The sequence below is a fragment of the Homo sapiens genome, chromosome 6, assembly GCF_000001405.40.
Source record: "Homo sapiens chromosome 6, GRCh38.p14 Primary Assembly".
NCBI lineage: Eukaryota > Metazoa > Chordata > Mammalia > Primates > Hominidae > Homo > Homo sapiens.
Window position 1 is genome coordinate 21,617,818 of NC_000006.12, and position 11,760 is coordinate 21,629,577.

The window sequence follows — 11,760 nt, forward strand, 5'->3', positions numbered from 1 at the left end:
CCCAAAGTGCTGAGATTACAAGCATGAGCCACCGTGCCTGGCCCATTTTTACAATTATTTTGAATAGCAGTTTATTAGAATTCATTTAAAATATTTTGAAGGAATAAAAGTTTGTCAAGAATGAAGAACAAAGAATCAAGAATGAAGAACCATCAAAAGACAGTCTTGAAGAACCATCAAATCTCAGATTTGGAGAATGTCATGTGACTGAAATGTTTCGCTAACATCAGAATTTACCTTAAATATAATATTCATAGCTACCTGATTAGCAACCCCTATTTGAAAAAAAAAGAAAGAGAGAAACAGCTCGTGATTTTACTGAATGTATTTGGGTTCCATGTAATTGCTAAATTATTTTCTCAGTGACCACAACCCCGTTAAATAGAAATGAAAATATCAGGCTGCGTGCGGTGGCTCACGTCTGTAATCCCAGCACTTTGGGAGGCCGAGGCAGGCAGATGACCTGAAGTCAGGGGTTTGAGACTAGCCTGGCCAACGTGGTGAAACCTTATATTTACTAAAAATACAAAAATTAGCCAGGGGTGATGGCACATGCCTGCAGTCGCAGCTACTTGGGAGGCTAAGGCAGGAGAATCACTTGAACCCAAGAGGCAGAGGTTGCAGTGAGCCAAGATCGCACCACTGCACTCCAGCCTAGACAACAGAGCCAGACTCCATCTCTTAAAAAAAAAAAAAAAAATTAAAATCCCGAATTTTTTTGGCACTTAATGTGAAGCACTTTGGTCTGTGGCTAATCTTACTCCTTCCCTTCCCTCTTGGAAAACCAGAATGTTTGCCCTTCTCTGAGATGCCCAGGGGTAATACTTCCGTCATCTCTGGGTCTTTCTGCTGGCTGGGATGTATTCCTTGGGAACCGAGAGACTCAAACTTGGGGAGACACTGGAATTGAGCTCTCACTCACTACCCCTCACCATTTGGGAACTTTGTTGCTTTCTGGAGTACAGACTCCTGATGAAGATAGAAACAAAATGGAAGTGAAATTGATCTGATTTGTCTCCATGGCAAGCCACGGGCCTGTGCCTTTGTTTTTGCGCTTCATTTCTCAACTGCAGACCGTTTTGCTGTCAGGAATTTTGCTTCAGAGGCCTCTGGGGCTAAAACTTTCTGAATCTGCTTCAGGTCACTGGCCTTCTCCCCTCATCTACGGCAATGTGTCCTTGCTTTCATCTTTGGCCGCCGCCCTTTGAAAGTCTAAGAACACCAGAAAGCTTCTCATTCAGTTTTCTCTCGCCTGTCTCTACCTTTTCTTCCTCATGCAAGTTCTAATAATACAATCACGAATGGGCTGGGCGCGGTGGTTCACGCCTGTAATCCCAGCACTTTGGAGGTCAAGGCAGGCAGAGCACTTGAGGTCAGGAGTTCGAGACCAGCCTGGCCAACATGGTGAAAACCCATCTCTACTAAAAATACGAAAAATTAGCTGGGTGTGGTGGCTTGCGCCTGTAATCCCTGCTACTTGGGAGGCTGAGACACGAGAATCACTTGAACCCAGGAGGTGGAGGTTGCAGTGAACCAAGATTGTGCCACTGCACTCCAGCCTGGGTGACAGAGTGAGACTCCGTCTCAAAAAACAAACAAAAAAAATCACAAATGATTCAAATGTTGAGAGTCCACTGTGTTCTTGCACCATTTCTCATTCTGGAGTCTCTGGTCCTCTAATTGTACCTGTACTTGAATATATTGAAATCTGCTTTTCTAATCCCCAGAAAAGTGTGTTGGATTCAACTTTTCCTCTTTCTGCGGGATAATTCTGATTCCATGGTCTCCTTCCCACCAGCTCCCCTTGTCGTTTCTACTCTACTAGGGTATTATTTTCCTGACAAGAATTAAATCTAGAAAGAACATCCAAATTTCACGTTAGAAGGGAAATTCTAATTTCTCAACACTCTAGATTAGAAAGGAAATTCACATATTTCAAAATTAATTAAAATCTCAAAACAAAGGAAAAAAATTACTTATTTTTAATTCTGTATCTCTTTCTTACTGGAATAATATGTGTTTCTCTTAGGATGTTACAATTGTAAATCAAAAATTATGCATAGTTGTGTTAATCTAAAGACTTGGAAGCAAATTTTTTCTATTTTTTTCTTCTTTGACAATTTAATGGACACAAAACTTTAAAACCTAATGTGTATTATTATTAGTTATAACTGATTCTTTTAAAAATACTATTGTTATGGGATTTTGGGGGCATTGATTTTCTGGCTGAAAACCTCTGTGGCCATGGCACCTTTGCCCAAGTTCTCATCCTTCGTTCAGGAAGAATGAGGTATGCAGACAGGAAGAATGAGATATGCAGACAACTGAAGGGTGAACAAGAAAAAGATGAGCTTTATTGAAAGGAGGCCCTAGAAAAGACGGCTCCCTCTCTGCTGGCAGGTCATCTCTGCAGCTCTCTCAGCAGAGAGGGTAGCTCCATCTCTGCAACTGGTTGTTCCCTCACCTGCAGCTATCAGCATAGAAGGTAGCTCCTCTCTGTAGCTGGTCATCCTATAATCTCTCTGCCTTCTTCTTCCTCTGGCCATCCTCTGCCCTGCTCTGGCTGAACCCTGGGCTTTTATGGACCTCAGAGGGGAGGAAGTACATGCCAATTTATCCATGGGCAGCCATAGGTGGCCTGGAAGAGGCATCATGAGTCCCCACTCTGGTCCATGGGAATGGCAGCCCAGCCCTCAGCCTTCAGGCCCTCCCTGGCCTGAAGGAGGGGCCTTACTGTGAACCCACCCCCTTCTGCCCTGGAATCAGTCTGCCTCTGCTGCCATTCTTGACCCCAACCCCTGCTCTGAAATCATAGCAGGTGCTGGGAGTGGAGAGAGGCCAGGCAGCAGGAGCAGACACCCCCAAGCCTGCAGGGAGATGGGGGGGATGTCCTTCCTGGGGCCCCCAAAGGTGCAGGCTGCAGAGATGCCCAGGTCCTGCCACTGGATTTGGGCAGCTGCAGCAGCACCCTGGGAGCCCCTGCCCCAACTCAGAAAGGGCCGGGCTCCCACTGGCTCCATGGAGTGTGCAGCCCTAGCCACGCCACCCTGCTGCAGCCAGCATGATGGCAGCAGCCATTGCCATCACTGTAATCTTGGTTGCATTATGGCCAAAAATCATGTTAATTTTTAAGAATCCTAACTTGATTGTTTCCTGCTATTCTTTTAAATGGAAGCTGCTTTTCTACTCTAATTTTTCATCAAAGTAGCTCTTGCTACCTTTGTGTTGGAACTGGATAGCCTTTTCTACACTTTTAAGAGTGATCAACTTAGACTAAATGGTGCAACTTGCCATGTGCAGTGGCTCACTGCTATAATCCCAGCACTTTGAGAAGCCCAGGTGGGAGGATAGCTTGAGGCCAGAAGTTCAAGATCAGCCTGGGCAGTACAGTGAGACCCCCTCTTTCTCTACAAAAAAAACTTTAAAACTTGACTGGGCCGTGATGGTGAGCATCTCTAATCCCAGTTACATGGGAGGCTGAAGTGGGAGGATTGCTTCAGCCTAGGAGTTTGAGGCTGTAGTGTGCTATGATCACACCACTGCACTCCAACCTGGGCGACAGAGCAAGATTCAGTCTGAAAAATAAATAAATAAATAAATACAAGGCATGGCTAAAATCTCCTTTGTTTATTTTTTTCAAATGAAATTCTTGAGGTGCATAATGTATGTGTGTGTGTTTGAGAGGTGGTGTATCAAATCAGTTCTCTCCATTGAAAGAAATCAAAATCCTACTAAAAATGGGTTAAATTATACAGGTCACTATTTCACCCAGCAAGAAGTCAGGTGAACAGTTCCTGGTTGATTGAGTAGCTCTCCAGTATCATGAGGGACCCAGTCTCTTCCCTTCCTTCTGCTCTGTCATTACCAGAAAAATATGATGGGTTAACCAACTCCAAGCATTTTATTCTCACTGAAGACAGACAAAAGAAGGGAGGACAAGGAACTGCTCCTCATCTGTCCTTCTTTTTTTCTGTGTTACTCTCCGTCTCTCTAATCAGGGAGGAAAAATTTTCCCAAAAGCATCCCCTGTACATGCATATGCATGCGTGTCTATTTTTATGTCTTTTTTTTTGAGACAGAGTCTTGCTCTGTTGCCTGGGCTGGAGTGCAGTGGCGTGATCTCAGCTCATTGCAACCTCTGCCTCCTAGATTCAAGTGATTCTCCAGCCTCAGCCTCCCAAGTAGCTGGGAATACAGGTGTGTGCCACCACGTCTGGCTAATTTTTTGGTATTTTTAGTAGAGATGGAGTTTCACCATGTTGGCCAGGCTGATCTTGAACTCCTGACCTCAAGTAATCTGTCCACCTTGGCCTCCCAAAGTTCTGTGATTACAGGCATGAGCCACCACTCCCAGCCCTTTTTATGTCTTTTTTTTTTTTTGAGATGGAGTTTTGCTCTTGTTGCTCAGGCTGGAGTGCAATGGTGCAATCTCAGCTCACTGCAACCTCTGCTTCCTGGGTTCAAGCAATTCTCCTGCCTCAGTCTCCCAAGTAGCTGGGATTACAGGCATGCACCACCACGCCTGGCCAATTTCGTATTTTTAGTAAAGGCAGGGTTTCTCCATGTTGGTCAGGCTGGTCTCAAACTCCCGACCTCAGGAGGTCCACCCACCTCGGCCTCCCAAAGTGCTGGAATTACAGGCGTGAGTCACTGCACGTGTTATATATATGTAGTTAAATACTGAAATTTACAAACATAGGGTAAAATTAAGCAGTGCCATGAAACACTATTACAACAGGAAAAATTAATTCTATTGCCCCCGTTCCTTAAAAAATTAGATAAGTAACCCAGGTGCAGTGGCTCAAGCCTGTAATCCCAGCACTTTGGGAGGCCGAGGTGGGCGGATCATGAGGTCAGGAGATCGAGACCATCCTGGCTAACACAGTGAAACCCCGTCTCTACTAAAAATACAAAAAAATTAGCCAGGTGTGGTGGCAGGCGCCTGTAGTCCCAGCTACTAGGGAGGCTAAGTCAGGAGAATGGCGTGAACCCAGAAGGCAGAGCTTGCAGTGAGCCGGGATTGCACCACTGCACTCCAGCCTGGGCAACAGAGCAACACTCTGTCTCCAAAAAAAAAAAAAAAAAAAAGGTAAGTGAACTGAGAAAGAAGAAGCAATCTTTGAAATGATACAAAGCAGTGAAGGACTTTATTACCCTAATTTAGGTGAGCATATTGATAGATAAACCACATAACCTGAAAGAAAATCGTATTAGTCAAAACGTAATATAATATATTTAACTATACATTTGGAGTTAATTCTAACCTCCAGCATCAACATTTAAAAAACAATTCTATTAAAATAATCTAAGGTAGGCTGGGCATGGTGGCTCATACCTGTAATCCCAGCACTTTGGGAGGCTGAGGCAGGCAGATCACTTTAGGTCAGGAGTTCAAGACCACCCTGGCCAACATGGTGAAACCCTATCTTTACCAAAAATGTAAAATATTAGCCGGATATGGTGGCACATGTCTGTAATCCCAGCTACTCGGGAGGCTGAGGTAGGAGAATCGCTTGAACCCGGGAGGCGGAGGTTGCAGTAAGCCGAGATCGTGCCACTGTACTTCAGCCTGGGCAACAGAGCGAGACGCCAGCTAAAAAAAAAAAAAAAATCAATAAAAATAATAATAATCTAAGGTATATGTGCATGTGAAAGACAACAAAACAGTTCAGGACTTAGTTTTGAGCTAATCATTGTAGTGTGTCTGCAAATTATAAAATTTTAGAATCATGTTCTTGATTTCTTCTAATCATATTCAATATAAACAAACTGCATTAACAGGTTTGAATTAACAACAGCTTTTGCATGTAAGCCCAGTTTTAACCCAGTGCTGGAGCAAACCCATCTTACAGATGAGGCTGTTTGTACATGCAAGTTAATTCATTAGGAAAGCTGTAATTAAGAAAAGGGTATGTACAAGTACTTTGCTTATTTAATTACAAACTAAATGAAAGTGCTTGAGAAAAGTGTAAACTTTACAATTGGCTCAAAGCCTTTAGCAAATAAGAGTTATGGATGATTTCTTTGTTTCATTCAGGAAATTTTATCAGATGAGAACTTTGGTCTGGCTTCCATTCCCACAACTCCACTGACCCAGTTCTCACCAGGTTAGTCAATGTCATTTTTGTTGCTAAATCCATCATATGCTAGTTTGTTTTGTTTTGTTTTCTTGAAACAGAGTCTCACTCCGTCACCCAGGCTGGAGTGCAATGGCACCATCATAGCTCACTGCAGCCTCAACCTTCCAGGCTCAAGTGAGACTCCCACCATAGCCTCCCAAGTAGCTGGGACCACAGACATGCACCACTATGCCCAGCTAATTTTTTGACTTTTTTTGTAGAGATGAGGTCTCATTATGTTGCCCAGGCTAGTCTCTCAAACTCGTGAGCTCAAGCAATCCTCCTGCCTCAGCCTCCTGAAGTGCTGGGATTGCAGATGTGAGCCACCACACCTGGCTCATAGTTTAGTCTCTATCTTACTGGCCCTGTCTGAAGCAATGGATACTGCTGATTGTGTCCTCTTTCTTGAAGCTCTCCTCCTGTGGCTTCTATGACTCCATATTCTCCTGGTTTTCTGTGTCTCTAATTTGCTTTTCTTGGGCTTTTCTGCTGTTGACTACTCCTTAAATATTGATGGTCTGTGGTTCTCTATTCTTACCCTCCACCACCTTCTCCAGTGAGTAGGAGCATCCAACTAACGTGCTGTTGTTATTCACTTCCATGGCTTCAAACATGGCATACAAACTGCTGACTCCTGGAATCTGTGTCTAAGTGGCTTTGCCCCTCTCCTGAGCTCCAGACCCACTGAACAGCTCCACGTGGATGTCTCACATCAATCTCAAACTCACATGTCTACAGATGAATTCCTGGGCTTCCCCTCAGACTGCTGTGTCTCTAACAGTCACTCTTTGATGAATGACACTGCTGTCACTCTCTTGTTTTGCTCATTAAAGGGAACCATTCTAGATTCCTTCTTCACCTCTCCTTCACCTCCAGGTCCAGTGATTCATAGTCATCCCCATTTTACCTTGTCAGTGTCTCTGGAATTTTTTCTCCATCCTTTCTACCACTACTGTCGTTAAGATTTTATTACCATTTTATGGCCGGGCGTGGTGGCTCACACCTGTAATCCCAGCACTTTGGGAGGCCGAGGTGGGCGGATCACAAGGTCAGGAGATCGAGACCATCCTGGCTAAACACAGTGAAACCCCATCTGCACTAAAAACACAAAAAAATTAGCTGGGCGTGGTGGCAGGTGCCTGTAGTCCCAGCAACTCGGGAGGCTGAGGCAGGAGAATGGTGTGGACCCGGGAGATGGAGCTTGCAGTGAGCTGAGATCGCGCCACTGCACTCCAGCCTGGGCGACAGAGCGAGACTCCGTCTCAAAAAAAAAAAAAAAAAAAGATTTTATTACCATTTTCTAGCCTTAGAAATTGAGGTAGTCTTCTGACTGTCCTTCCTATCTACTCTTGCTCGATGAATGGATTCATCACACAGTTCCCAACATGATCTACATATTTAATTTTTTTTTTTTTTTGAGACAAAATCTCGCTCTGTTGCCCAGGCTGGAGTGCAGTGGTGTGATCTTGGCTCACTGCAACCTCGGCCTCTAAGGTTCAAGTGAATCTCCTGCCTCAGCCTCCCAAGTAGCTAGGATTATAGGTGCCTGACACCACGCCTGGCTAATTTTTGTATTTTCAGTAGAGACGGGGGTTTCTCCATGTTGGCCAGGCTGGTCTTGAACTCCTGACCTTAAGTATCTGCCCACCTCGGCCTCCCAAAGTGCTGGGATTACAGGCGTGAGTCACCGCACCTGGCCTATTTTATTTTTATTTATTTATTTTTTTGAGACAGGGTCTCACTCTGTCACTTAGGCTGGAGTGCAGTGGTATGATCATAGCTCATTGCAGCCTTGAACTCCTGGGCTTAAGCAATCCTCCTGCCTTGGGACTACACGTGCATGCCATCATGCCTGGTTAATTTCTGAATTTTTTTGGTAGGGATGGGGTCTTGCTATGTCGCCCAGGCTGATCTCAAACTCCTGGGCTGAAGTTATCCTCGTGCTTCAGCCTCTCCAAGTGCTGGGGTTACAGGAGTGAGCCATCACACCTGGCCAATTACGTCATTTTTAGATGAGGGAAACACATCATTTGGTCTTTGGCTAATATTGATTATAGAATCTAAATATCAGGCCGGGCGTGGTGGCACACTTTGGGAGGCCGAGGTGGATGGATCACTTGAGCTCAGGAGTTTGAAACCAGCGTGGCCAATATGGCAAAACCCCCTCTCTACTAAAACTACAAAAATTAGCTGAGCATAGTGGTGCACGCCTGTAATCCCAGCTACTCGGGAGGCTGAGGTAGGAGAATCCCTTGAAGCCAGGAGGCGGAGGTTGCAGTGACCCAAGATCACACCAGTGCACTCCAGCCTGGGTGACAGAGCGAGATTCTGTCTCAAAAAAAAAAAAAAAAAAAAAAAAAGAATCTAAATATCTAACAGTTGTTATTCTTTAATTATGGTAACTTTGTAAGTTGTGGAATAAACTCACTTTATAGTAACTAATCTATAAATTTTTGGTATCATAGAAAAATTATCTATAATTTTCCTGATTATCTCTTATAATAACTAGTCTATTATATTGACTAGTGGCCTAATTCCATTCTCTTCTTGAAAGCATTTTTAAGTATACTAAATAATGTATAAGTGTGCAGAGTTAAAAATATGTCCAAATCATAATGCATATATTGAAAATTACTAGGTATAAAGTCTTACATTTTATAATTTATTTCTTTGCTATTGCAAATGGCATAAAGACAGCTCATAAATCTGGAAAGTAAATCACATTAATGTGGGAAATGAGATTAAAAGAGAAACTATAATTCAGATGTTACTAAAATAAGTTTTCAGATAAATAAGCCAAATCTGGGCAATAAATTGGACAATTGAACATTTTTTCAGTGTTCTGCAAACACCTGAGATGGCTTTTTAAAGATTTCCTGAAGTCATCTCTGTTCTTTTCTAGGGTAAATAACTGCTTGACTTGAAAGCCTTGGCAAAGGAAATAAGGCTCCTACCCCTAGTCTCCCTCAGTTTATGAGTTTTTTCACCCACAGATCTCGAGCAGGTTAAACTGGCTTCTTTACACATTGGCTTCTTTTCACAAGATGTGACTAATTACTTTAAATTGCTCTGGTTTATTAAGTGAAATCCAAAGTCACTTCTGTGCTCACCTGACATTTAGTTAATGAGCACAGTGCTACCTCCAGGAGATTAATGGAACTTTGATAAAGAAGTAGTTTAATTGGTGAAATAGCATATTTGGATTTCACTAGAGAAAGGGTGAAATAATCCATATATTTGAATCCAATTTAATGTAATTACATTGTAATTTTGGTTATTGCCAAAAGATGGTTTGTCATTTGAACTGAGAACTAGAGGTTAACTAATATATGCAATTGAAATCTATCAGGGCCGGGCGCGGTGGCTCACGCCTGTAATCCCAGCACTTTGGGAGGCCGAGGCAGGCGGATCACGAGGTCAGGAGATCGAGACCATCCTGGCTAACACGGTGAAACCCCGTCTCTACTAAAAATACAAAAAAAAATTAGCTGGGCATGGTGGTGGGTGCCTGTGGTCCCAGCTACTCAGGAGGCTGAGGCAGGAGAATGGCATGAACCTGGGAGGCGGAGCTTGCAGTGAGCAGAGACCGCACCCCTGCACTCCAGTCTGAGCGACAGAGCAAGACTGCATCACAAAAAAAAAAAAAAAAAAGAAAAATCTATCAGCAAATATTGAGTACCTACTATATTCAAGCTTCTAGGGTATTACAAGTACAAAGAAACATAGGACTTAATATCTATTGTCAAGTAACATAAAGTATAGTAAACCAATTACTTGGGAAGGCTATACATATGCATGATATCATCCTGGAGATTTCTAGCCTACTTTGACTTTATGTTTTAGTAATCAAGTTGTTGCTATTCTTTATGTGTAGGACATTGTGTTGGTGATCCCAAGAAGTATTAAACATGATTTATTTCACCGTGAGTTTATTTAGGGAAATAGAGCATTAAGGTAAAAATAAATAAGTAAGGCCAGGCGCGGTGGCTCACACCTGTAATCCCAGCAGTTTAGGAGGCCAAGGCAGGTGGATCACATGAGGTCTGGAGTTCGAGATCAGCCTGGCCAACATGGTGAAATCCCGTCTCTACTCAAAATACAAAAAATTAGCCAGGCGTGGTGGTGGACGCCTGTAATCCAAGCTACCCAGGAGGCGGAGGTTGCGGTGAGCCGAGATTGCCCCACTGCACTCCAGCCTGGGCAACAAGAGTGAAACTCTGTCTTAAAAATGAATAAGTAAAAGGCAGCATATGGTAAGGCCAAATATTAATAATCTTTTATATTTACATAACACTTTTAAAATGCTTTCCTATGTGCCTTCTATTAAAATCACTCATCTTGGTTCTGCTTTCTCCTTCAGCTACACATCAGCTTCCCCCTTTCCTGTCACTGTGGCTGAGATTGCATGAAAGTCTACTTTATGCTTCTGTCTGGCCGCTTCACTGTTCCCCAGCCTCTCGGTCTGCTGTAAGGCAGTTGCGTTCCTGTACCCTTCTGAAGCTTTTCTCCCGTCAGCCAAACTTAATCACCCCTTTCATTTCTCTTACCACTGGATTCTCTGTCATGGCTGATACCAGAAACTATTCTCTCCTGTTCTGACTTCCCTAAAACCACTTTCTGCTGCTTCTCCTCCATCTCCTTCATGAGCGATGGAAGGAATTACCTAGTGTGGTGTTCCTAGAGCCACAGTTATACCTCTCGTAGCACAGAGGGAGTGAGATGACCTTTCCTGGTACACAGACCCACACAGAAGTGGGGGTAGCTGCCTAGGGAAGCCTTGAAGGACAAGGGGAAGGAGAGTGGGGGTGATGAGGTGAGAATTTTAGGAGAATAAGGATGGTGCAGGGAAAAGGTGGCGGTTTCTCTGACACCAGGCCTTCAGTGGCGGGTCTTTGCATTTGTTCAAACACTGATCCCAGATTTCCTCCTCTCTGGTTGCTCTGAGAATCTATTTGCTGAGCATCCCAAGGTTCAGGGTTTGGGGGGAGCCCATGCTATACAAAGGCTTAATGCTGGGAGTTTGGGATTAAGTGGTTGGGGAAGACCAGAGAGCAATCACTTTGGGGTTCAATTCAGCAGCCACCAAAAAAAAAAAAAAATTGGAGTCAAGAGTGGCTTTGAAGCCAGAGAGCCTTGGTTTTTTTTTTTTTTTTTTTTTTTTTGAAACGGAGTCTCCCTCTGTCTCCCAGGCTGGACTGCAGAGGCGCAACCTCGGCTCACTGCAACCTCCGCCTCCCGGGTTCACTCCATTCCCCTGCCACCATTCCCCAGCAGCTACAGGCGCATGCCACCATTCCCGGCTAATTTTTTTTTTGTATTTTTAGTAGAAACGGGGTTTCACCGTGTTAGCCAGGATGGTCTCGATCTCCTGACCTCGTGATCCACCCGCCTCGGCCTCCCAAAGTGCTGGGATTACAGGCATGAGCCACCGCGCCCGGCGAGCCTTGGTTTTAAATTGGGCTCTGCTGCTTCCTAGGCTGTGAAACCAGAAGAAATTTTCTCATGCCGGAAGCAGGGAGTCTTTTCTGCTTTTTCTCTCTTCTCCTAAATCTTCCCGCACACATCAGCCAGTCCAGTCGACTCTACCCCCAAATCCATTCACTTCTCTATCTCTACCACTGCCATTCTCCTCCAGGCCACC

At 44.1% G+C, this 11,760-nt stretch overlaps 1 annotated feature.

Moving 5' to 3' along the window:
- Positions 10,495-10,564: an enhancer, noted in NCBI's record as "active region_24142". NCBI's record gives its function as "activates an Ori minimal core promoter by ATAC-STARR-seq in GM12878 lymphoblastoid cells {active_cell/tissue: GM12878}" and the evidence as "EXISTENCE:reporter gene assay evidence [ECO:0000049][PMID:35858748]".